This window comes from Homo sapiens, chromosome 3, assembly GCF_000001405.40.
Source record: "Homo sapiens chromosome 3, GRCh38.p14 Primary Assembly".
Classification (NCBI taxonomy): Eukaryota; Metazoa; Chordata; class Mammalia; order Primates; family Hominidae; genus Homo; species Homo sapiens.
Genome location: NC_000003.12, coordinates 140,447,859 through 140,474,655, shown reverse-complemented (window position 1 = coordinate 140,474,655; position 26,797 = coordinate 140,447,859). Strand labels below are relative to the sequence as shown.

Sequence of the window (26,797 nt, the reverse complement as noted above, 5' to 3'; positions counted from 1 at the left end):
AATTCTCATATCAACTTTGTTAACTTTAAGCTTCCAAGTGAAGCACTGTCAAGAGAAAGAGGATTTCATGAATTTGCTTTACTACTTACAGAACCAAGCACAGAGGACTCAGACAAAAGGTTTCTTTTCCACTTCTTGTAGCAGGTAAGGCGATTTGGCACCTTCATCTATTAGAAAAATGTGACTAGAGAAAAAGAAAAGCTCCAAATCTGCTCCATGGGGATCCTAGTCCTGAGGCTTATAAGGAAGCAGGCCTGGTGAAAAGCCAGGAGCAAGCAGTGAATGGGGGTTTTAAAAAGCAGTGCCTCTTCCTCCTTCCTCCCTAGTACCCAAGCTGGAAGGGGAGGGCTGTGGAGACCTGTGGTAGAGACATCATACACTGGTGTACAGAAGAGCCTACACACCTCTTCAGAAATGATGGCCCAGGGTCACCTCAGCAAGGTGTAGGGAGATGGGAGGTGGATTGATTTATGAGCCTGAGGCAGCTCCAGGGCTCCCAAAGGCTCACAAGTGAGGTATTAGTTTCCTATTGCTGCTGTAACAAATTACCACAAACTTTGTGGCTTAAAACAACACAGATTTGGCCAGGCGTGGTGGCTTATGCCTGTAATCCCAGCACTTTGGGAGGCCGAAGCAGGTGGATCATAAGGTCAGGAGATCGAGACCATCCTGGCCAACACGGTGAAACCTTGTCTCTACTAAAAAAAACCAAACAAACAAAAAACAAAAAATTAGCCTGGCGTGGTAGCGGGTGCCTGTAGTCCCAGCTACTCAGGAGGCTGAGGCAGGAGAATTGCGTGAGCCCGGGAGGCGGAGCTTACAGTGAGCCAAGATCGCACCACTGCACTCCAGCCTGGGCAACAAAGCAAGACTCTGTCTCAAAAAAACAAACAACAACAACAAAAAAAAAACACAAAAAACCCCCATAGATTTATTATCTTATAGTTTTGGAGGTCAGAAGTCTGAAATGAATGTCACTGGACTAAAATGGAGGTGTCAGCAGGGCCACATCCCTTCTGAAGGCTGTACTGGAGGATCCGTTTCCTTCCCTATCCAGTTTCTAGAGGCTGCTGCATTCCTTGAATCATGGTCTCACATCATTCTGACCTCTGCTTCCATCTTCACATCTCTGTTTCTGGCTCTTACCCTCTTGCCTCCCCTCTTATAAGAACACTTACTATTATATTGCGCCCATAAGAATAATCCAAAATCATCTCTCCATCTCAAGACCCTTAACTTAGTCACATATGCGAACACCGTCTTGCCATGTAATGCCACATATTCACAGCTTTCTGGGGTTCAGAGGTAGACATCTTTGGGGACCATTATTTCGTCTGCCACAGGCACCTAACAGAGCCCAGAGGTGCCAGGTAAGGTGACATGGCATGAGAGTAATGAGGAGAAGCCATGCAGCAGGAATCTGAGGCATGATGAAAAGCTGCAGGAAAGGGGCTTTAAGATGGAACGAGCATGGCTCAGGCAGTGGGTGCAGTGCTGGGTGCCAGCACACTGGCACTCTCTCAAAAAGAAAGCAGAACAAATGGGATATGCATGCCAGCAGCTACCTTTCCAGAGAGTGGACAATCCAACCATTGCACAACTCTGACCTGAGAAGCCCAGGATGTCCCATGTGGGTCTGAGGACCCTTCTCTGCCAACACCATGAAGCTACAGAAGCCAACTCTCTCCAAATGTCTTGAGGCTCTCTTTGAAATGGAAACAGTCAGGGAGAGGGACTAGAATATGACTGGGGCTTGTCAGGAAGCCATATATATCATGGGGAAATAAAGAGAGACTAGGTTCACTTTGCATATCCAAAGTGAGTCACTATTTGTGACTGTCTCCCTACCCCCAAAACACACATACATATATTATTCACCCAGAACAACCCTGCAATTTGATGTCATAGAAAAAGTCATTCGGAATTCTGCCTGAAAGAGAGAGAGAAAAAAAAGACATTCTGGACATCCTTCCCCCTCTGTTTAGGACACTGGTTCCTAAAGGACAGATGGTCTTAATGAGGGCAGGGCACAGGCAGGGATGCCGAGCAGAGTGGCCTGCTGCATTGGAAGAAACATGCCCAATGAAGCCAAGAGCTAGTCTTTAACAGCAGGATTAGAGTGCTGACAATGCCCAATTATTTTGCTCATTAAGATGACTGGTCTGAACTGCACTGACCATTCTCCAATTAACTCCTTGGCACTTGGTTATAATAATGATTGAACTAACCTATTTGACTCCCTGTGAAACCGAATGAGCAGATGCAAGTAAACTGACTCTGCATCATTCTAACACACTTTCCTCACCAAGAATAAAGGATGTATTCACTTTTAGATCCTTCCAGGAGCTTTAGAATTCTATGCAAGTAGAATGGACTTGATAAGCAAAGGCTCTGGCCCAAGACAAATGTGCTCAAATCCTGGCTCTGGGGAACTCGGGCTGTGACTTATGCTCATTTATATGAGAAGGAGGAATACCACCACCAAACCATGGACCTGGGTTGAAGGGACCCTCTGGGTATGGTGAAGGGCTGCTGGGGACCTGAGAAGCTCCCCTCATACGGGGAGTTTAGCATTCTCTGTGGGAGGTAGGGCAGGGGCAGAGAGAATTGGAAACATTCACAAAGGTGAATCCTCTTAAGAGGATCCAAACTTCTCAGACACATTATTGTGTGGCTTTCTTGTATCAACATAGTAGCTTTTTAAATCAGTAATCTCAAACCAGAGACCAGAGAGTAAAGGTGGACTGCAGAATATTTTGTTTGGCCAGATGATCTGTTTTTGTAAATGAGCACATATTAAAGTTGAGAAATTTTACATAGAAATCTGATTTCTAACTTCTGAGCAACTGGAAGTGCAGCACGAGGCCCAGATTCTTGTATAGTTTATAGATGTGTAGTGGCTAAACCTTTATTACTTTATTTTACTTTCCACTGAATCTTACATTCACCCAGCCAGGTATTGTCACTCATCTTGATGCTTCTTCCCACCCACAATTATTAGAGTTTGGGATTCTTGCAAAAGATGCTCCCAAGGATATGTAAACTGGGTATAAACTGAGCAGGGCTGAGTTTCCCCAGGGTGGAGTTGTGTTGTTCTTCTCTTGATCCCTGATGCCTAGTACAATTTCTGGCACAGAGAGGGCAACAGCCAACTGAATGAATCCGACATTTGCATCCTGTGCTTGTTGCAATTTTTCAGAGATGCACTTTTTTCCTTATGTGAGCTGGGGGTACCTGTGCGCTTGCTGGTCAATTGAGGCTGTCACTCAAGCTGTGTCTTCCCATAAGTGGAACATACTGTAAAACATCAGCAGATTTCCCTGCAGTCACCATACCAGGTCCAAAGGGAAGATTATTAGATTGTGACACTGAGTCAACCATATCCAAATGATATTAAAGCCAGGAGGGGCTGCAAGTTAGTCAACCTATCCTGTGTGTGCTGGCAGCTGGGCACTCTCCTCTGCTTTTGTCTGGGTTTGCACATGACTCACTGCAGGCTCCAGGGATTTGCATTAGTGGATCATAAGTGAAAATCCCATTAAAATGACATTCTCCTCATCATTATGATGGCTTTAGTGAGATGCCCTGGATTGTCACAGGCATCTCCTGGAGCTGCCTGGTAATAGATTTACCTGGCTGTCCATCCACCTTGGCCAGAGCCTGCTGCGGTGCGGGGCAGAGGGGCTGGGCTGACTAAAGCACACAGTGCCTCTGTGGAACTGCCTCTCTCAGCAGCACTCCTGAAGGGCTATGTGAAAACCACTGTGCCTGGTTTCAGTGCCATGAAGAGCCACTGTTCAAACATGTCTGTCCAGGGCTGGGGTTCCTGGGGGGCTTCTAACATAGCCCCTGCCACCGGCTCCATTCAATGGCCCCGCATGAGTTATATTTGCTTAAACTTGATAAATCTGATGAATGTCATACTAGAATTCCCTATATTTGCCCATCTCTAAAATTATCAGTCTTCTCTTGAATAGTAGATGTTTCAATTATGGCCCATTCCTTTGGGGATAAAGCGCCAACTCAATAATATGATATAAAAAGCCACTTGGGGTTTAATGTCCACCTGCTCCTCCACAAGGTGTCCCAATACCTGTCAAAGCTTTCTCCTTCCGCCCCATGCCTATGCCTATGCCCCACCACACTGAGAGCTCACACGCCCTGACCCCAGCCCTCCTGCTCACTGCTCTGCCACTAGGCTGCCCTGCCCTGCACCACAGAGAACTCCACATTCCTTGCAGATGTTCCCTCCCAGAGGCCTTCCCAGGCTTTCAGCCCCAGGTGCCCCTGCATGGGCTTCCACAGACTCCCCTGATCCGGCCCCAGCCCACCGTGCCTATCACATGGAACTGTAAACTGTCTGTTGATGTGTTTGTTTGACCCATTATCATGGAAACTTCTAAAGAACAGAGACTCTTATTTTAGCTACTAATCCCAGGTACCCCACACAGAGCCTAGAGCACAGTTTGTGCTCAGAATAAACTGCTGAATAAAGAAATAAGCGAGTCCCCATCAGGCATTAGAACAGATAAAATGCTGAAATTCCCAAGGTAGGCCAGGAGTTAAAATATAGACAATACATTAGACTGGCTTGAGTCCTTTCTGGCCAAGGCCAGAAAGTTCTGTAACAGTTACAAATCCACTGGTGGTAAATCTAGTAAGATCCTGAAATAAGACATCAAGATCAAAGATGAACAATGTTTGAAATCCAGAGAGTAAAAAATGGCAACATTTAAGCATTTTAAAATGCTCAATAAAATGAGTCTAAAGATCAATTAATCACCCGGAGGTTTTCAAAGATCTCTGGATTTTTCCTCTTTCCTCTCTCCCTCCCTCTTCCCCTGCCTCACTTCATCTCTCCCTTCTTTTAATCTTGACATCCATTCACTGTTATGCAAACATTTACTAGGCGCCAACCATGTGCTCATGCCTATAACATGCACAGAAGAGCTGGAGATGAGTAAGACACGACCGTGCCCTCCAGGAGTTCAGTGCAAAGTGAGCAGACAGGCAGGATAAATGGGTAACTACAGAACAGTAGGAATGGGGATGGAGTTCTGCCTGGAGACTGGGGAGCAGAGAAGAGAGGCAAACCACCCATGGGGGTGACCCAGGATGGCTTCCTGGGGGAGGTGACCTTACTAGGTATGCACATTCTGGGCATCAAGTGATTTACACCCAAGAAACTTCTGGCAAGGTTCTGTCTACACAGGGAGCTGAGTAAGGAGAAAGAGGGGTCTCTGGGTTGCTCAGTATATACCACTGGATTGCTAGCATGGGAACTGTTGAGGTTTCCTACACCCTACTCACTGTGGTTCCCTTCAGAGGGAGGGCAGCTGTGCAGGTGAGCTGGGGCTCTGATCATCAACAGGCAGTCTTTAAACTTTTTAAATGTTAATTTCTTTAGTAGAGGAATGCTATGGACTGAATTGTGCCTCTCCCAAATTCATATTTTGAAAACCTAACCCCCAATATATTTGGAGCTAGGACCTTGAGTAGGTAATTAAGGTTAAATGAGGTCAAAAGGGTGGACCACTATTTCGATAGGGCTGGTTCCTCATAAGAAGAAAACACACAAGAGTGCTCCCTCTCTGCCATGTGAGGACATGGTGAGAAGGAGGCCCTCTAAAAGCTAGGAAGAGATCTCTTAACAGGAACCAAATTGGCACCTTGATCTTGTACTTCCTACCACCTTTAACTGTGAGAAAATAAATTCCTATTATTTAAGCCACTCAGCCTGTGATACTTTGTTATGGCAGCCTGAGCTGACAAAGAATAGGACAGCTTGAGCAAAATGAAGAAGTGACCATTTTAGAGGATTTCATCAAGACTATGAACATTTTGTACTTCAGTGATAATTCTGATCTCTAAAATTTTTGTAAATTTAGAAATGCAAATTTTTAAAATTTCGAATTAGCTGGCACACCAAAGCAGCAGCCGGGCATAATGGAAAGGGCAGGTCCTACCCACGGTTTGCTGTGTGACCTTGCGCAAGCTACTGGACCTCAGTCTCTTGCCACACATTAGCCACCAGGAAGGGCTGTAGCAGAGACGAGAATAATTTCCCACGTGCATCCTGCCTAGCACAGAGCAGGCATTGATAAACGGTAGTCAATGAGATCAGGGTAGTTTGGAATGTGTTTGGTGAATCTCAGCCCCTCCTTAAATTCACCACTTTGGGAACAGATGTTAGAACCTGCTAGATTCACTATATCTTTATCTTCAGAACCAGAATTCCTTCCTCACCTATTTTTAATTTCCAAGCCCATGGCTTCATTTGCCTGCATCAATGCCTCTCAATCCCATCTTAGAAAATGCCTCAGGATATCTATAATTATCTCAACCAGTATAGCAGTGTTCCTATTTTAAAAACCCTCACAATATGGAATTTATTTTAATTCACTTCAATTTGTATTATATATTTTAAAACATCCCATAAAAGCCATATGGCACTTTAGGACATAGCTGAGAGGTTGCTGAGAAATAAAATAAACAATGTCAAGATTTCACAATTCCTGCCAGATTCAGAATTCCTAACTCAGAGGAACATAGACTAATCAAGATGCCATATTTTTAGAATTAGCATACAGCAGGATGGGATTTACTGGGAGTGGATTAGGCAGTTGCCACTGGGCTCCCCTAGCAACTTTTCCATCAGCTTGGCATCCTTAATCTTGTCACATTGCCTGGAGTTCCACCATTGAGAGATTCCTTAGAGTTAATGAATCTTTGTTTTAGAGAACATACATGTGTACTTCTATGAGGATGAAAGGTGGCAGCAATCATTTCCATCTCAGTGTGAATGAATTCCTCCTGGAATACTTCCTAGTAACACTCTAAGATCAGCTTACTGGAGGACTGGAGACTTGGATGGAACAGAGAGAGGGTGGGGGTGGAGATATAGTAACAAGGATGGAGAAGGGAAAGGATTATGAATCAGTCAGCCCTCAGCAAGGTGAGGCAGGTAGTGTAGTACACACAGTGGGCTTTGGACGAAGTAAAGAAGACTGGGGGTCCCAGAAGTGCTTAGCCCAGCATATGGAAGGGGCAGAATAAAAACAAAATGAGGTCCTGGGGCCCCAGGGAGGAAGGGTCAGAGAAAGGGCATCATTTCCTCTGCCTCATTAAGCAGCATCTATTCCTTAATCCCATTTTCTGACTGCTGGCATTCTTTCTCTTGATAATTTAAAACACTTTTGAACAATTAGCGCCTGGTCCCTTTCAAATTTAAGCAAAGGCCAACTCTAGTCTTGCTACACAGACGCTTCCTGATGGCACAGCCACCCAGAAAAGTGAGTACTACTTCCACCGTTAATGCTCCACAGTCCTCAGAAACATACTTCAAAGCTTTGGAGTCACACCAGACACTTGCTTTGTCATTGAAAGTATGATGCAGTGGCTCTTGTGATCAAAAGTCACGAGGCTCTGGAGTGAGTCACAGATTTTTCCACTTCAGAAAAGAGCATGCACTGCCTAAGGTGCTCTGTGTCACTGCTTACTTCAAAGCCCTCAAGTCCCTGTCCTCAACCTTGTGTCACCCAAAGGAGGTAGTAGAGCACCAAGGGAAGACATGGAGCATTTGTGATTTAAAGATGTGCTAACAGAGATCGTAACTGGGCCTGGGGATCAGGAGAACTGGCTTCCACAAGCTCGATGTGGAGCAAATGGACAAACGGCACATGACAGGTCCAGTGACCCAGCAGCATCCCAGCTGGGAAGCGTATCCCTTTCCACCTTCACCTGGCTATAAGGAGGCAGTTTCCTTCCTGACTTTAAGATGCTGTGTGTCTCCCTAAGCTGATTTTTCCAAAATTCAGCAAGTGGTCAGGACCTTGCAGTGCCTCCCCACTGCCATCACCATTGGATTGGACTGGCCACCCCCGCAGAGGCATGAGTAGCAGCAGGTGTGAGGTGAGCACCATACCTGATCCAGCTTCCAGTGGAACTCCGCGGGGCGAAAGGTGTCAGCCTGGTCGAAGTCCTTCCGCAAGAGAAAGACGAGGCGGCAGTTGTGCACATACAGGGCATAGTGATGCCGGTTCATTTCTGAAAAGCAGAAAGAAGGTTTGAAGAGTGAGAGAACCCCTGTGTCAGCCTCCACCAGAGGAGTCTTCCTGCTCACTCACTTAGCACAGCACAGAGGACAAAGGCATGGGCACTCCAGTCTTCTCATTTACAACAGGCTCTGATGATAGTTCTATAACGCACATGATAGAGCTCTTCCAAAGTGGAAGAGGAAGACTCAGGAAAACCCACAGCCAAACTCTTGCTGAGAAGACATCTGGACTTTAAATACCCACCTAACTTGTACTCAGATACTGCATCAGTCCCAGGGTACAAATTACTTAGGTTAACAAGCTCCCTGTTTGTTGGTTACAGATGCTTCTGGAGGGTTTAGGGAGCTATATGCCAATCACATCAGTCACTCTGTGCTCCTTTAACATACTGGTTTCTTCTAGAGTTCTGGGTTTTTATTTTATTTCATCAGATAGCAGTGACAACAGTGACCACATCTTCTCTGTCTACCTAATCTATATGAAGCAGAGCTGCCTCACTTTTAGCTGCTGGGAGGAGGGGAGAGGTTGATTTTCCAGCATTAGAGATAGTTTTGTGACTCCAACATCCCCTCCCCATACACAGGCAATTAATGGGAAGTTTTCCTCTAATGTAGAAACTTCCTTTCCTGCTTAGAAAATTTCGTGTCATGGATCCTGGCAGAAGAGGAAATGTTCTTTGACCAATTCTTAGAGAACTTGAACCTTATTACATTATCGAACACACCAGACATCTACCAGGAGGCGCGTGTTCCATAATGTTGGTTGGATGAGCAGGTGCCCATGTGTAGTGGAAAGAGCATGGGCCCTGGATTCAGATAGACTTTGGGTGGAGTTGTAACTTGGGTGATGTTGAGAGAATCATTTCACCTCTCAGAGCTTCAGTTTCCTTAACTATATCATGACATTGAAGCTGGATTATCATAATGTATCCCAAGAATGGAATACTGCTACCAATTCCTGTACATCCTGTATATACCATGCCTATACAGTTTAGGTGGGAGGAATCAATACCAATTACATTTCTAGGATGGGCTCTGATTGCTCCTGGCCAAACAGGCTCATGAGAATCGCCCAGCACATGACTTGTTCAGGATCCATGACCATGTTCCTAGTGCAGGCCATTCTCCTGGCTTCAAAACTTCTGTCAGGGGTTGGCAAGTGGCTCAGTTCAAGCCAGTGATATGAGCACTTTTCTCAGCAGTTCTGGGAGAGAACTGCTCTTTTAGCAGAAAGCAAACAGAAGAGATACTTTCCTTCCCGCTGGAAGTTTTATTATACCACTGGGAGGCTTGGAGCTGTGCGGCCATATTTGCTAATGTAAAATGGATACACTTACAGGCACAGATCTGAATAATTGCAGAGAAAAGGAGCCAGGCCTTAGATACACTTTACCTTGATGATGACTTCATGAGCCTTCATAGCTCTGGATGTTTTCAGTTACAAGATACCCACATTCTCTGTATTAGTTTGATTTTTTGGTTATCTGATATCAGTTTGGTCTGGACTTTCCACTCCTTGCAGCTGAAAGCCTCTTAATTGATACAATGAGGAAATGTGTGGAATGCATCTGCCCAGAACAAATGCTCCATAACTGTTACTTATTAGAAGGACTATCACACTGCCTCATGACCAGGGCAACACAACGAAGTAGTGCTTTCAGGAAAGCATCACCATTCTTGAGAACATAACCAAAGGATGGCAGGAAGGAGAATGGTCAGGGTCTTACTGTGGCAGGGCTGGCCTCGGCCAACATCTGGGGGACCATTTTTAGCGTCTGGATTGGCAAAACACCCGGGACTGCTTCTGGGGATTTTACTAAAGATTTCTTGTCCCCCTCATCACTGTATACCTGACTTTTCTGTGGCTTCTGTTGATAACTCTTAGGAAATATAGAAAGGAAGAATTTTTGCCTTTAGTTTTATTTGGAGTTAGGAGAGGTTGGGGCTAAGGAGGTGGAACAAGAAGAATGGATGGGCAAACCTCACTCTACTACAGCAGCTTCTAGCCTGGGAAGTTTCTTCCTCCTTCTACTCCCTTTCTCTGAATTCGAAGAGTCAACTCATATGCCAGGGTACCTGATTTATTCACTGTGTTGGTGATGTGATTTGCTCAGGAATCCATTTTATTCCTTTTCCTGTCCTTAGGAATTCTTCATTGAATCTTTCTTCCCTTCTCTCTGTCCACGTCTCAGGTAGATCCTAAAGCCTTCTGCTCACTTTCTTGAATTAGAATAGTCTTGAAGGGTTTAATCCAAATCAAACATCAGTCTCTCATCCAGTTAAAATAGATGTTCCTCTTCTCCACTCAGTCTTTACCCGTGGCTTGGTGGCCCACAATAGGGAAAGGACGGGGTAAGATCTTTCATTCTTCTTGTTCTACGTCTTCATCCCCCAACCTCCTCCTAGCTCTAAACATGGTCAGAGGTAGGGGAATATGGATGAGAGGAAAAGAAGTATAAAGTCTCTTTAAAAAGCCAGTAGAGTTTTTCATTTTCCAACGGCTCTGCAGAGGTCTCCAAATTGCCATCTTCACCTCCCCACCCTCTGTAAGGATGGCCCTGCTATAAATCTTTACATAGGAATTGATATGGTAAGTGACACACTCCTTTTCTGGGTGGCTGGGACATTTGTGCTTGCGGCAAATTCCTCATGCGAAAGATGCTCTTTCCAGTTGATCTTCCATAATTCCTCCTCAGCTTCTCCCTTCTCTCAGGAATCCCCTCCAGCATCAGCTCCTGCTACTGGGACCCCTCTTCCTGGCAGGCAGCCCTCTGGTTGCTAGCCTTGCACATTTCTGGATGTCCCTTTGGCCCACAATAACAAAAACACCTGTGTTCTGCCAAATTGTACCAGGGAACCTGCTCTCCCTCTGGCCCCTCTCTCCTCACCCTATAATTGTGGCAGCCCCGTCATTCACTTGCATTCAGACACCCTGGGCAAGAATCAGGGCCAAGCTTTCATGTACCCTAAACTTGACATGAGTCAGGCCTTTCCAGGACTCGCCTGGGCTCTGCTCTGACACCAGCCTGGAGCAGACTTAAGAGTGTTTGCAGCTCAGCCAACTGGCAGCAAAAGTAAGGTTCTCACTTCCTTTCTACAGACAACAACCTCAATCCTTCTGAGTGGTTTTCTGGGTACCTCTGTAAGTGTGAAAATACCCCCATCCCTTTCCTAGCAGGCAGGGGGACCATCCTAGCACTCTCTACCAGGCTGACATCTCCATCTCTCTCACCTGGTGATTGCTGAACAAGGTTGGCCCCTCTCTCTTAGAAAGCCCTGTAGGGAAGTGGCTAGCACTGTACGTAGCCACTGATCATTCATTGTTCTCAGTTCAAACTCAGAGACAGAAAAGGGCTGCATGCCAGGGGAAGAAGATTCCAGCAAGAGGAGCTGATATGTGTGTAGGAGGGGATTGATTACTGCGACAAGGCAGGGGCTGAGGAGGAATCATGGAAGGTGACTGGAAAGTGCACTGTTCATGGGAGGAATGGAGAGGTAAACCCCAACACAGGTGGGCTTAGAGGGGCACAGGGCCCCACACAATGACCTCAAGGTAGACACATGGCTATGTGTTCACCTAACCCTATTTCCTATGCTCCTAGGTTCACATTTAAACTCATTTCGCAGCCTCCCCCATGGGTAGGTGGGGCAATGTGACCAAGTTGTGGCAAATGGAATGTGTATTAGAAGTCAAACATGCTACTTTCTATTCTGGCCAATAAAATCCTTCTGTGTTCAGCTCTAGCCTTACTTTCTGTTCTATGGTTGAAAATGGCAGCAGCAGATGATGCAAGAATCCTTGGCTACTGAGTGTTCTGGGCAAAGTAGAGCTTGCCTACCCTCCAGACCCATGTGGGGCTGCTGGACAATGACAGGAGGTAAAACCATGGGGAAAGAATGTTACCTACTGAGATGTTTTTCTTGGTGGAAGTAGTGGTGTTAGTGGTACTCTCTCTCTTTTTTGCAGTTAGCCTTTGCTGACTAGTCAATTCTGTTATCCAGCTATTTATAAAATAATTTATAATGGAACAGCATTAGTAAGTTTTACTTAGTACACCAGACAAACTTAGTGCAATCTTCATGAAGAGCAATTTGACAATTTACAGCAAAAGCTTCCTTTCCTAACATTTCTATTATTTGAATCAGTAATTCAACTTCTGGCTGAAATAATAAGAAATGTCCAAAAGGTATATACCAGAATACTCTTTACAGCATTGCTGTGTTTGCATTTAAAAGGAGACAATCTAAATATCTAATGAAAGGGGGCCAGTGACATGAAGTATGATAAATCTACATGGCAGAGTTTTAAACTCCCAAATAATCCATATTTTTAAAAATATTTTATCACATGGAGAAATGATGTGGAGATAATGTTATATAAAGGTAACTGATGACATAATAATATCACAGATATTATAAAAGTTTAAAGGCATTCTACATATACACAGAAGCAAAAATAACATTGTAATGAAATGTACTAAATGTTATCAGAAAATATTTCCCTAGTGGTTAGGATTTTAGTTAATTTCTGTGTTCTCTTTTATGCTTTTCTGTGTTTTTCATGTTTCCACTATAGACATACATTGCTTTATGACTTGAAAAAAATTTTGATGTAAAAAAGCCATAATCAAGCTTTCATTTATTCTGGATTTTTTTTTTTAATTTAGGATGGGGTATTTATAGATTTTTTTCTTGCTGTCAGAAAAGTTAGAGAAATATCTTCCCACTTTCTCTGTGCCAATCTTGAGTGTTGTTTCACATAAGGGCCCAAGCTGAACACTGGGTGCTGCTTGGGGTGCTGCTAATTTGGGGGTGCTGAATGCCTTCTCAGGGGACTGCTGGGATGACAGTTGAGGCCAAGTTCAGCCATGGCTTCCCATTAGGCTCCTCCAAGATTCTTATTGAGCTGGGTGGGGCTCTAGCATCTACACATTTTTACAAGTGCACTAATATATTCTAATGAGGACCACTGGTGCAATAGCTTGGGCCTGGGACACAGGGTCAGAGGATCTAGGTCCAATCCTGTCTTTCTTGGTAATCATCTGTGTTATCCTGGGCCAATCACTCAGCCTTCCATATTCCAATTTCCTCCTTTGTAAGCAGAAACATTTATATCTGTCTGACTTACCTCCCTGGGGACTCGATATAGCTCAGAAAGGACTATATGTGCATGGCCACTGACCCCAGCTCACACTGCTTTGTATTTGTCTGCACATTCTTAGGCTGTTGTCTCATTGGGATGCTGGCTCCTGGATTATGATGGGAATACCTCACAGGGCACTGCACAGGCTACTGAACTGCGTCCCAAACCTCCACCTTCCTGCGTGAAGGTCCCAAAGAAAAACCTGTCCTTGGCACTGACTTCTACATAGACTTGCTATATAAATAGGGAAAGCCAGGCACCTCTCAGTTTCTGCATCCAGAAAATATATTAACATTTATTATAAAGATCAATTGAAACAGAGAATGTGGCGTTCTTGTAGCAGTGTGTAATGAGGAATAAAACTGGAAGTAATAATAATAACAACATCAAATAAATTACTGGAACACTGATTTATGCATGTGATGCTACTAAGTAATTTCATACTTTATTTCATGTTTATTTTCCCCATTTTACCTACGGGGAAAATGAGGCTCAGAGAGATTAGCAACTCCTCAAAGATCATGCCTTAAGAAGTGGTCAAGCTGAGATGGAAACTTTGGCTGTCCAATAGCAGAGGCCGAGCTTCAGCCCTTCTTCTATATTGTCTTTTTACTGTTACATCTGCTGTGATTGTTATTTATTTGGGGTGTTTTAGCAAAAGTTGTATTTGAAATGGGAAATTGTAGAATTATAATTAAATGCAGAGTTGTACAATTTGCATAAGATCTTGGGATGTTTGTGTATGTGTGTGTGCAGATGGGTGGGTGTAGTGACAAGAGCATAGGTTTGGATTTAGTTGGATCTAAGCTGACATTCTAGTTCTGATACTGTCTGTATAACTACTTGTGACAAGTTAGTCAACCTCTAAGGAATGTTTTATCCTTAAAATGGCAAAAACAATAAGGCTTTTATAAAATAATTATAGAGACTTGTGTTTAGAATAGTAATAGCTAACACAGATTATCATATTTCCTTTGTGCCAGGCACTGTTCTGAGCACTTCATGATTATGAAGTCATTCAATCCTCATAAGAACCCTGTGAGGTAGATACTACTATAACGTCCCATTCACAGACAGGTAAAGTGAGACACAGAAAGGCTAAACAACTTGCCAAAGTTACCTAGCTAATCAGTGTTAGGGGACTTTTAACCACCAAGCCGTGAACTTCTTGCACAGGCTCAGCATGCTGAAAAGCCTATCGAATGGTAGCTATCATTACTATATATGTCAGAGGTTTTCAAACTACTATTCTAAATTAGCAGTACTTTATTCAAAAGATAGCTTTTGGAAATCTTACTGTATCTAATACAGTAAAGGTGGAGCTTCTTTGTTTGAAGTAGGAATAAAGATTCCTCTCTCACCCCCATCTCACTTATAGCAGCCCCAAAACACTTCTGGGAATGCTAGCATTCTGAGGAATCTAGTTTGAAAAGCACTGATTCCAGCTGTTACATCCTTTGTGTCTGTACCCCTACTTTCCCCACTTTTCTGCTCCTGCTCTACGTCAAGCCAAGCCTGGAAAATCAGCAGCCAGAAAACCAGAGACCAGAATATATATTGGCAGGGTTCCTCTCAGGCTCCTGCTTTTCTTCCACATCCTCCTTGGCTGTGTCCATGTCCAGCCACCTGTGACAAAATGGGCAGCTGCTGGGGTAGGAGGGGTGGAAGGGCTGGGCTAGAGACTCACCGGTTTTGTCTGAGTTGCAGAGGATGGTTTCCTTCTCGGCTCTCACACCAGGGCTGGGGCCGTGTTTCATCCACATGGTGATGGTGAACTGATCGGTCAGGTTCTTGGGCACAATCCCATCGGGGACTTTGGCACCCTGCCTGCCGTCAAACTTGAAGATCATCTCACTGCTGTCCACCAGCAGTCCTGCAGTCCAGTTGGTGGCAGCGCTAGGGGATGGCAAGAGGTCAATGATGCCAGAGGAGGCTCCTGCAGAGGGTCAGGAAAGAAAGGATAACAGGTCATGATGCGGTGTCCTCATCTGTTTTCTGCTCCTGGGTCAAGGTGAACTACTCAGTGTACTTACTCAGAGACGTCTGTGCCTAACCATGAGCTATGTGACTTAGGAAAAGAAGTGCTAAATGCTGTTCCAGCCCCTGAGTTATTTATGGTTTTCTTGGGGAGGCATCAGTAACTTACAGACAAAAGTGCTGCATGTGGCAAGATAGGATGCAAGAAAAAAGTGTCGGAGGAATTTAGAAAGTTGGAAAAACCCTGGGGGCTCTTACTAGCAGGGAGGGTTCCTGGAGAAAGCCAGGATTTGATTTGGATGGATGGATTCACTCACACACCTATCCATCTGTTAACCTGCCAGCCATCTACTGAGCACTAACCATGTGCCAAGACCCCTTCTAGGTGCTGGCTCTATGAAGGTGAGTCAGACACAGTTCAGAGCCAGCAAGTTGACAAAATGTGATCAGGGCTGTGATTGGGGAAAGTTCTAGATCCTGATCCCATAAGAAGGAGCATGAGCCACTCATTACACTTTTTTACAAATATTTGTTGAGGCCAAATGATGCAGTGGTTGAGAACACAGGTTTTGAAGTCAGCAGAAATTGAATTTGACACCTGGCAGCAAAATTTGCTAGCTTTGTGACTATGAGCAAATAAGTTGACCTTTTTGACTCTGTTTCCTCTTTCCAGCGAGTTGTGAGGGCTGAATGAGATAATGCATTAGAGCTTGCAGTAGCATGCTCGCTGCATGGCGAAGGTTCACTCAGTGTTAGCTATCATGTTATCATTGTCATTATTATTATTTCTGCTGCTACTATAATAGTACTCAGGCTAAGGCACGAAGACTTCATCTGAGGCAGCAGGAGTGGGGGCAGGTTTATTTTAGAAGAATCACCAACTTTGTGGAGGGGGGTGCTGAGGTGAGAGGCGACAACTGTCCTGCCAGAGAAGACTGGATTGTCCTGCTGGGTAGGTCTGGGGCCTCCGCTGACTCTCCACAGAGGCTCAAATACAGAATTCTTTCCATCCTTCTGTTCTATACACAGACAGGGCTCAAGCACTACGGGAAGGAGGGCCAGGAACTTGCAGTCATTTTCAAATAATGGGAGTCTAAAGTGTGACCTGAGTTGGGTGGGCAGGGGTATGGGGGCTGTTTCCTCATATGGCACTGACCAGTCAGTCATAAACTCTGATGGGTTTAATGGACAGTGGTTGTGTGTATTACCTGCCATTTGCCCAGGTTTTGGATTTTTGACTTTTGTATATCAGAGCCTCATCTCACCTAGGGTTTGGGTTCCAAAGTCAGCCACTACAAAAAAAAAAAAAATCTCCTACCATTAAAATGACCCTTTGAAGATTCCTCAAGGAAGATGCCATGCTGGAAATCAGTTTACTTGTTTGAAAATGTTCAACTCAGCCAGTTTTCCCTCCATCTGTGGAGGAGATCATCAGGTCTATATCCATTGGGTAGCAATAGAAGGTTATGCTATGTGAAGAGCATGTATCCTTAGAACCCAGATGCTCTGCTTCTCACCATGACAGGTTCACTCTGGGAGAGGCTTCTGGAATTGTGGTGTCTGTGAAGGTAGAGATTAAAATCTCCCAATTCATGCTCATGCTGTAGTTTGTATGTATCAAAGGGAAGTGTGGGCAGAGTTGACGGCATCATTTACATGAGTATTTCCTAGAGATTTTGTCTGTTACTGCACCTGACACATAGTAGGCACTCAGTTAATATTTATAATTGCCACTCAGTGCTCTCACGAGATGCTCCTGGAAATTCACCCAATGCTTAGGTGGGTCCATCCAGCCCCTTGTCCACGCTCCACGCCTCTCATCACACTTACCTGTTCTCACCCCCTGCTGCTAACTCCTTAATTGATATCCATGTTACTTATGTGATAAACTAATTTATACAAATGTTTTAATTGCCAATAAAATCTTTGCTGTCCTTTAATACCACCCTCCACAGATATTTCTAAGAAAGACATCTATCAAGGTGGTAGCAGAGAGAGATTTGTGAGTGGTTTGGAAGTAGGAGATACATGGTTTTTTGGGGAAAGTGCATTTTCCTAGTACCCCTGGAATAACACAACATGGCAATAGTTTCTTTGACCTATTAAGTTGGGTCTGATACCAAAACTTGTCCAGTGTGAAGACAGATGGTGACAGAGGTACACACAGAGCATGTCGGTTCCTGAAACCTGGGACGGCCAGAGAGATGCAGGCTGAGCACTCAGGGCTTCTGACTTCTAGCTCAAGCCAATGGGACCAATATGATCTAGCAGGGCCCGGTGCAGAGATGTGTGTGTGGTGGCTGCAGAGGCCAGCTTTGCCACCATGTGGAGCACCAAGGCCTCTGCACAGGGGAAGCAGGGTGGGGTCTAGCAGGGCTTGAAACTCCACCACCAGAGGGTCCTTTTTTTGGCTAAGGACATTGCTGTTCCTATAGAATTCACACTTCAATTAATACCTTAGACTAGTGAAGAAATTGATTGTGAATTTCCCTCCAAACAGGTTTGGATATATATAGAGAGGTACACAGCAGAGAGGACCATGCATGGGGTGATGGGGGATGACATCAAGGGAAGGTTGGGAGACAAAATTGGTTACAAAATAACCCAGTGCTGGTCAGGGTTATTCTATAGATATATCCAATATTTATGTAACCTTATTTATTTTATTTTTATTATTTTATTTTATTTTATTTTTGAGACGGACTCTTGCTCTCGCCCAGGCTAGAGTACAGTGGCGCGATCTTGGCTCACTGCAACCTCTGCTTCCCGGGTTCAAGCGATTCTCCTGCCTCAGCCTCCTGAGTAGCTGGGATTACAGGCATGCGCCACTATGTCTGGCTAATTTTTGTATTTTTAGAAGAGATGGGGTTTCACCATGTTGGCCAGGCTGGTCTTGAACTCCTGACCTCAGGTGATCTGCCCGCCTCAGCCTCCCAAAGTGCTGGGATTACGAGCACTACGCCTGGCCTATATAACCTTATTTTTTATAGTTACAGAACTTTATTGTTTTCCTATGAACCCTTACTGGGCACAGAATGGGTGCCAGGCCTGAATTAAGAGCCTTACACATGCTTTTTAGTTACTCATCTGCGCGGTGAATATCGTTAAGATTCCAGGTTACAGATAAAGAGCCCTAGGCAGAGTGAGCCCAGGATGGCACCCAGCTAGTGAGTGGACCCATCACCAGGACTTCCCAGCTCCAAAGCCCATGCTCCCCATTGCACCTCCTCAGTGGACCTGGAGGGAGATCTTGTAACCTTCTGCTCATTTTGCAAACATAGAAACTGAGGCCCAGAGAGGGGAAACGACTGGACCAAAAGCACACAGTCACAGCTAGCTAGAAGCAGGCCCAGCTCTCAGATACCCAGTTAGTGTTCTTTCTACCACACAGTAGTGTTCAGGGGGCCAATCATATGACCTGCCAAGCACAGCCTAGTCACATGGGACTCCACCTCCCTACACAGGCCACTGCTCTGACAGAGGGGCACACTGAGGACATATGCCCTGGCAAAGCCATAAGGTGGGGCTCTTTTGTCTTCCCTGCTGAGGGGGAGCGGCAGGCCACTTTCTCTAACCCGCAGATGTTGCCTGCCAGAAACCATCAAGCTGCATTTAACCAGATGGTGCAGACTTCCACAAACTTAACAGATTGTATTTCATTTTTTGGTATATTTAAACAAACTGAGAAGATTTACTTTCTCCAAGGTTTTTCTGTCTCTCTTCTCCCCAGGGATCCCTTGGGAAGGCAGTGGGTAAACAGAATGCATCACTTGCAGTGATGATACAGCACTGTCTACACATCAGGGTGTATTTAAGATGCTCCTTTGGAATCCTCCGTGAAGGTCCCTGGGGCCCCAGGCAGCTGAGGATTCACTCTGGTCTTGTATACAGCAGCTGCAGCTTGAGTGCTGGGGGACTGAAACCAGGGATGAGATCTGATTTGACGTCCCTGGGCCCTAGCAGGGTGGGGAAGCCACTCTGAGCCAGAAAATAGATACAGACACAATGAATGAGGCAGATTTCAGGGCACACTGTGATACAAAAGCCCAAATGGGGCCTAGGGATGGCAGTTACTGTCTGAACTTCTTAATTGATGAATTTGCATTCTTCTCTAGATGGCCTTGGTGAGGCCAGAGGTTCCTTAGCACTTCAGGGAGCCTATGGCAAGAGTGACTGACATGGGGCCACCAGTTGTGCCTCCTCAGGGTCCACCTCTGGGCATGAGAAAGGGCAGGGATAAGTGGGGAATCTCAGGGAGAGGATCCAGTATAATCAAGGACACAGGCCTCACTCTGTAAGATATTCTCACAATTGGCAATATCAACTCCATATTATGCCAATAGACATTTATGTAATATCTAAGTTATGACAGGCACTGCCATGAGAATGCAGCAATGAACCCAACAGAAGTGGCTCTACCTTGGGGGATGCAATGAAAGTCTTTTATTTTCTGAAGGAAGAAGCTTGGTGGGTGGAGGAGTTCAGTGATGTAGAATCTCAGGGGAAGTGAGGGAGGCCCTCTTGACAAGTGCCGTATGGACTGCTGGGACTTTGTGGTGGTAGAATGTATTCTATTCACAACACAAATCTCTGACCCACTGATATCAGCTTGGCCATGAGACTTGCTCTGATAGATGAAATATGTGTGCATGTGACATATGTCATATCAGAGCAGAAGCCTTAAGAGCCCATCTGTGGTTCACCATGCATCTTTTCCATCTACCAGGAAATCAACAATGTTTTAGATCAAAGCTGTTCCATTTTCCTGGATCCTAGTGGGGAGCTAACATGGCGCAGAGCCACAGCCAATCCAAGGACATGTGGTAAGAATGATAAATAAACCTTTGTTATTTTAACACAGTGAAAGTTTGCGGTCAGTTGTTACTACAGCATAACCTGTCTTACCCCGACTGATAATCTATATCAGTGATTGTCATCAGCAGTTAAAATTCCCATTTCTCTATCCGTGTACCTTAAGCATAGGCACAGAGGACTTTTTGATGTCCTTTCAGGAGCTCACACACTATTGATCCCACAATAAAACTATCATTTCACTTCTAGAATCCTAGAAAAGAGGAGTTCCTCCAAGGCCCTGGAATCAGAAACTTGGATTGCCAGGTGAAGGAAACTAGGTTTTGCTTCATCTGGGTGGTTGGCCAGGATCCTGAGTGAGAGCCATGGATACCTAGTTGCTTTCCAGCTTGGTATGTTTTTGTCACTGCAGGCAAAAACCTCCTCCCCAACATAGTGGGCCATGTTGTATTGTAGTTGCTTAAATGACCTGCAAGAAATAAGCATAAGAAAGAAGCCCACTGCTCACTGTCAGCATCCATAACTCAGTGTGTGCAGCCCTTCACTGTTGTATGATTGGGGATCTAATCAGACTTCCAACAGGTGTTCACCTATTTTCCTTAAAGTAAAAGGCCCACTTCATCTCTCTGCGAATGGAGGCACTGGCTATGACTAGTAGACTGACACTGTCATGCTGGGAAGCTCCAGCTCTTTAGCAGTGTCTTAAAGAAACCCATCATGGTTTCCTGTAGTTGGGCTGTTATGAGGGTGTGAAAACCTCTGATGGTGGTTATTAGTGAGAACAAGTTCTGTTGAGCTGCAAGGTGCACTAGAAAACCATGAACTTTTATAGCTCCTAAAAAAAATTGCATTATAATTTTCTTAACATGTCTGTCTTCTCCAGAAGATTGAATTTTTTTACGTTAAACAATTTAAATTGACACATAACAATTGTACATATTTATGGGATACAATGCAATATTTAGATACATGTATACCTTGGGTAATAATCAATTCAGGATAATTAGCAAATCTACCATTCAAATATTTATCTCTTCTTTGGGGGTGAGAACATTCAAACTGCTTTCTTCTAGCTATTTTGAAATATACAATACAGTATTATTACTATAGTTGCCCTACTGTGTAATACAACACTAGAACTACATGATCTTTTAATCTCTACATTATTTTAAGAGTTGGCACAGCATCTGAGTACTCAACAGATATTTGTTGAATTAATAAATTTGTGCAGGAGTGAATGATGAATGAGCCCTCTACCAAAGTCTCCTGGGCTCACATGTATATAAATCCTGAGAACAACTTAGGGTCTGGTCAGGCGCACTGCTCTGACACATGAACCACATGATTTTTGCAGCATGCTCTTACTCTGTGGTCTTTTGTTCAACAGGACCTGCCCTCAGTGTTCTTCACTCCACACAACACAGCTGACCCAGACATCATGTGCAGGAGGTACTGGCCAGCAGCCAGGAGCCCTGTGGTCCCTATGAGGAACCACCAAGGTTCCTGGCCTCGCACCACCAAGGGCATATGCACCACCGACTACTTTTCTAGTTTCTGTAATACGTAGTGATGTAGGGCCATCAAAGTGGACCTTTTCTTGGGCTGTTGTTAATGTCACATTTAATTTGGCCAAGAGGTCTCACTGAGGGCTGCACTCTCATCTCATACTCAAAATAGTTCTGTGACACGCACCTCTGGAAAGCCTGGTGCCTAGATGGCATGGTCCTTCATGTGGAGCTATGAATTCAGAGGAAGTGATAAGCAGTTGGTCCTGCTTCTCTAGGAAGCCTGGCTTCATGTAGAGCAAAGGAAGGTGGGGGCCACTTGAGTTACATCTGGCCCCACAAGCTAAAGGGGACACAGAGGTTCAGGGGACCTCCATTTTTTTTGTACAAAGCAGAATGGCAGTGTCTCCATGCATAAACCCATGAAGCAATATGCCTGACATCCAATGCTTCCCTAGGCCCAAAGAGTCATTTCAAGTGCTTCTCCATCTACTCAGGTACCTCCTGACAGCAGGCTTGACACCAGCTACTGTCCAGCTCCCCAGTAAACCAGATTCCCTCATTGCTCCTAATGGGGTCTAGACTGCAGGAGGAGGAAGCAGGTGGGCAATGTCCAGATTTCCATGATGACCCTCTGAGGAGATATCCGTGGCTAGGTTACTGCACGACTACAGCATCACAGAGGAGACTCCAGAACTCAAACTACCAAGGTAGCTCCACAGACTGACTCCTGGTGTGCATAGAGGGCAGGCAAATGCTGACTGGAGGGAAGGGTTTGGAGAGGTGAAGGGGAGAGAGACCATCCTAGTGGGAGGAGAATGTGAGTGAAGGCTTATGGATGAGAAGGAACCAGGCAGAGGGACCAAAGCAGGTGCCCTGACCAAGCAGAAGCAGAACATCAGGGCGAAATGTGCTGTAGTAATGGATCAGCAGGGTAGAGGCTGATCTTTGGGAGGGTCAAGAATCAGGCTAGAATGTGGTGTCCACACCAGGGTATACCACAGGCAACTGCCATCGTTGTCCCTTAGGTGTGCCCTTGCTCCTGGATACCTGGCTCTGGTTGGCAGCACCCTCATTCAGTTAGACACTCACACAAGAGCCTTCTTAGAATCCTTTCTTACTCCTGACAGCTAATCAATCATTGAGTCTTGCTGATTTCTGTCTCCAAGCCTGTCTTAAATTCATTTTTCCTGCCATTCCCCTGGTTCAGAACTCATTATCTCTTGCTTAGACCATGGCTCTAATATCCTCATTGGTCTCCCTGTTTCCATCCAAAGTCAATAAAGATTTGTAGGATGAAAAATGCATGAATACTGAGGCTTAAATGGTCATGGCAGCTCCCCAGTTGGGAAGCCCAGCAAGAAGCTTGTCTACCATCCACTGAAGACACACAGAAACTTGTCTCTGGAACTGAAAGTACCCTACAGGAGTCAGGCATTACAACCCAGCTTCCATTTTAGAAGTGATCCAGCCTACATTTCCCTTATAGTTGGAGAGAACCTGAGTCCCTACATGGAAGCTGACCCCAGGATCGGATTTGCATCTGGGCCTCACTCATTTGCTTTCACCCTTTTTATCTGAGCTCTCCTCCAGTGCAGTTCAAAAGCCAGGCTTCTAATGTAGAGGCAGGACTGATCCTGCTCAGCAGGGTTATTGGGACAGGATTACCATAGGTGTGGGGGGCAGTGCCATGGAGAGAAACACAGGCTTCTCTCCTTCAAAGGGCAGCTCCCAACTCCAAATAAGTCCACACCTTGGGGGAAACGGCCTTGCTGGCTGAATTAACCTGCCCTTCTGCAAGGCAAGGTTGGCAGTACAGATGGAATGAGCTGTGTTAACATATGAGATGCAATTTTGTTCGAAAATTTCTTCCTTCAGGAAATCCTTATTACACTCCATATCTCCCCATCTCTCCCCAGCAACATTCAAAAGCAAATCACAAGTGCATGCCCTTGGGCCCATCTGATCTTTAACAAGCTGATCCCATCATCTCTTCCTAACCTGGAGGAGTTTAGGAAACGATGCTAACTAACCCACAGTGGCCTGGGGTTCCGTTGACTTATAATTCAGGTGCATGGGGAGCAAAGTAGGGTATTCCTTCAAAGTAAGATGTCATCTTAGATGGCTTCTCTGCTGCAGAATGGAGGAGAGGACTGGAGGTGGTTTTCTGAATAGTGCAGATCCCTTATAACCATTTTTGCAAGAGCTGTATGGAATATTGAAGTTGTGGTGATTTTTCTGATCTACTGCATCATTCTGGAGAGGTGTGCAGCCCCATAGGCCTTCCCTGCCAGCCTGGTGACGTGAAAAATGGAACATGACAATATCAAGCAGAGTTTATTTCACATTCAGTTCTAAATATTTTTACTTGGTTCCTTGGGTTAGAACAGTGTGGGTGAAGGGGTGTGTGTGCTTGTGTGTGTGTATGTGTGTGTATGTGCTTGTGTGTACGTATGTGTGAAAGTTGAGGGAGAAAAACTGCCCCAAAGATAATAGTGGAGAGGCCCACCTTGGGGGAAGGCAGGCTAGACTGTGCATTCACAGCCTCCTTTTCTTTTGGAGGAGATGCAGTTACCTCCAAATACAAGCCCACTGTAAGAGTAAGCCCTTTCCTAAGCTCCCAAACATGGCTGGAGAGTCCAGTGTGAGTTCCTGAGTATTTTGGGAGAGAACAAGGAAGAAATCAACTATGTGCAGGAGTAGGAGTGAAGGAGGCCCATCACCATGTCAACAGTCTGACTTACTAAGCACATGAGGCACTTCTCGCCTTATGAGATGCTCTTTTTCTCATTTCACAGACTCACTGAGAGATTTACATTCTAGCTCCCGAGGCCTGGATGGAGGCCTGGATGGATAGCCTTAGTGGATACTGAGCTAAAATGCCCATCATTTAGACAGACTTACTTTCAAATCCTGGCTCTGTTGCTTTCTATCTGTGTGACCTTAGACAGGTCATTTTCACTCTCTGGGCCTCAAATTTTTCACCTCTAAAATGGGATGGGTGACCTCCTCATGGTGAAGATGGGATAACTAAATAAAGTAATGCATGTGAAGAGGCTGGCAGGGCACACAGAGCAGGTGCTCAGTGAAGCTGGCTTTCCTCCATATCCACCTTTCAGAGCACCCCTCCATCAGCTTTGTTTCCTAACTCCTGGCCTGCCTCCTTTCTTGTGGCGCCATCTCACAGCCAAATGACAACAAGCCCTCTCTGTCCCTCACAAGTGAGTATCTTCCTTTGTCTACCGTCACCCTCACCCCAAGCTCTTCTCTGCTGTGGGCAGCCAGACTCAGCTTCATGGGCATGTGACCTTGTTACCTGGGGCAGTGACTATGTGACAGAGCTGAATTTCTACCCTGTCCTAACTTTGCTTATCTTTAACAAACAGAATGCCTGTGATAAAAAGTTCCCTTTGCAGCCAGACCAGCTGAGACTGGTACATAGAACCAAGACAGCTGACCAAAGGACTTCAAAAAGACCTCAGTCTTCATGATAATCTTATTTCCATGCTAAATGATACTCCCTCCAGCACCACGACAGTTGACAATTGCCATGACAATGACTGGAAGAAGCCGTAAAAGGACTAAAAGGGAGGCGGTACTACTGATTCCAGGAGGTTCACCACCCACTTCTGGAAAAGACATGAATATTCTTCCCTTTTCTTTTAATGTCACCTCCTTCATTAGAGAAATCCTGTATCTTAAGCCCCTCACCCTCACTTGTTGAGAAGTTGATTGTGAGCCATCTCCTGCTTCTCAATTCCACGGCCATTGAATAAAGCCTGCACTGCTTGACACTCACTTTTGGTTTTGTGTATTGGCTTTGTGATACTGAATAAGGAAAGACTCCATCTTTGGTAAGACCAGCTTTGTCAGTAACAACCTGAGTAGTCATATAGGGCCCAAGGCTTAGTTGTGTTTACTTGGTTTAATGCTTTGCTGTCTCTGTTGTAAAACTCTTGTTAATTTTTGAACAAGAGCCCCAAATTTTCATTTGCACTGGGCCCCACAAATTATATAGCTGGCGCTTTGGGGAGGAGACCAATCCCTTTCCAGGTGACTGACACTACTAACTCTTCATACTGGGTCTGGTCTGATTGCTTTTTCTAAACCAGTGGGGCAGAAAGGAACTCGTGTTTCTTTGGGCCCTGACCTAGGTACTCCTGAAAGTATCGTGCCATTTAATTCCCGTTTTACCAAAGAAGAGCAAAGGCTTTGCTTTTCCATGTCACTTGCCCAAGGCCACATAACTAATAAATGGAGTCTGAGTCAGGAGTCTACTGCCAAAAACTGGGCCTTCCAACCCTTCTGCCATAAGTAAACTTAAAATCCATCCAGGAGTTACACATATCAGTGCAGGAAGGGAGGGTTGATTCTTGCCTAAGACAATAAGATATGCTTTTTTGGTATACATCATTTAAAAGCAATTGATTTTTAAAATCCCAAAAGGGAAAAACCTACCACATAACTTTTGAAGGGATTTCTCAGAGTAGGTCTCCCGGTCACAACCCTTCCCAATGTAATTAGTCTGCAGCTCTGTGACGATCTGGAGGGAAGACACGGCTCCATCGCACGTCTCCAGGTGGATGCTGGGGAACAGGGGCATGCTCCCGGAGCCAGGCTGGTACTCAATCCTCTTGGTCCAGTCTAAACAAACAAGGAAAGGATGAAAAGTGAATCAGGTGCAGTCAGTTCTGCTGGAACATTTCTTTTAGAAATGTGAATTTGTTCCAACGAATTATTTGCCCCAACACATATATTAGATATTAGGGAACAGTTTGAGAATAATGGCAGTTTTACATTTGCTTATGCAGGGTTTCCTCCCTGGGAAATACTAGGCAAACACAGAAAACTGCACCCAGCTGCACTGAGCCACATAGGAATACACAAAACATGTGCAGGCACGTGCATACTCACATGAGCACACACACACACACACACACACACACACACACAGTCACACCCTCAAACATATACCAGCCACTTAGTTCACCATGTGTTATGAGCCACACCCGTCCACGCCTGCAGTTACAACTTTTCATTCATTTCCCAGATACTCCTTCAAGGACTTCACAACAACACACCAGAGGCAACCCCCATCATCCCCAAACCTTTTTTTTAGTATCTCAAAATTTATGTTTTAACTTTTATTTTAGGTTTAGGTGTACATGTGCAGGTTTGTTATATAGGTAAATTTGTGTCATGGGGGCTTGTTGTACAGATTATTTCAGTACCTGGGGAGGCAACCTTCTTACATTCATTTCACAGGCAAACGTCAGATCTCCTCAAGGCAAGGTGCCATACTTA

General features: G+C 45.0%; 1 protein-coding gene and 2 long non-coding RNA genes across 4 annotated transcripts in view, besides 1 other annotated feature; 2 read left to right on the top strand and 1 right to left on the bottom strand.

The window, feature by feature from the left end:
• CLSTN2 (calsyntenin 2) overlaps positions 1 to 26,797 on the bottom strand; it is a 642,213-nt gene that overhangs the window by 102,742 nt on the left and 512,674 nt on the right. For both annotated transcript variants that reach the window (NM_022131.3, XM_017007022.3), the window contains exons 6-8: positions 25,952 to 26,137; positions 14,887 to 15,135; positions 7,925 to 8,046 (exon numbers count right to left, since the gene is read on the bottom strand). In NM_022131.3, coding sequence (NP_071414.2) covers positions 7,925 to 8,046; positions 14,887 to 15,135; positions 25,952 to 26,137 — 557 coding nt within the window. The remainder of the gene's footprint in view (positions 1 to 7,924; positions 8,047 to 14,886; positions 15,136 to 25,951; positions 26,138 to 26,797) is intronic.
• Positions 97 to 22,071, top strand: LOC105374132 (uncharacterized). Its single transcript, XR_007096117.1, has 3 exons — positions 97 to 144; positions 19,903 to 19,999; positions 21,991 to 22,071. It is a non-coding gene; the product is annotated as an uncharacterized LOC105374132 (long non-coding RNA).
• Positions 6,804 to 8,003: an enhancer, noted in NCBI's record as "P300/CBP strongly-dependent group 1 enhancer chr3:140185495-140186694 (GRCh37/hg19 assembly coordinates)". NCBI's record gives its function as "activates an origin of replication core promoter dependent on BRD2, BRD4, P300/CBP, MED14 and CDK7 cofactors, with strong dependence on P300/CBP, by STARR-seq in HCT116 cells {active_cell/tissue: HCT116}" and the evidence as "EXISTENCE:reporter gene assay evidence [ECO:0000049][PMID:35650434]".
• LOC124900599 (uncharacterized) lies at positions 22,119 to 25,169 on the top strand. The gene is made up of 3 exons (XR_924548.3): positions 22,119 to 22,203; positions 24,613 to 24,714; positions 24,880 to 25,169. It is a non-coding gene; the product is annotated as an uncharacterized LOC124900599 (long non-coding RNA).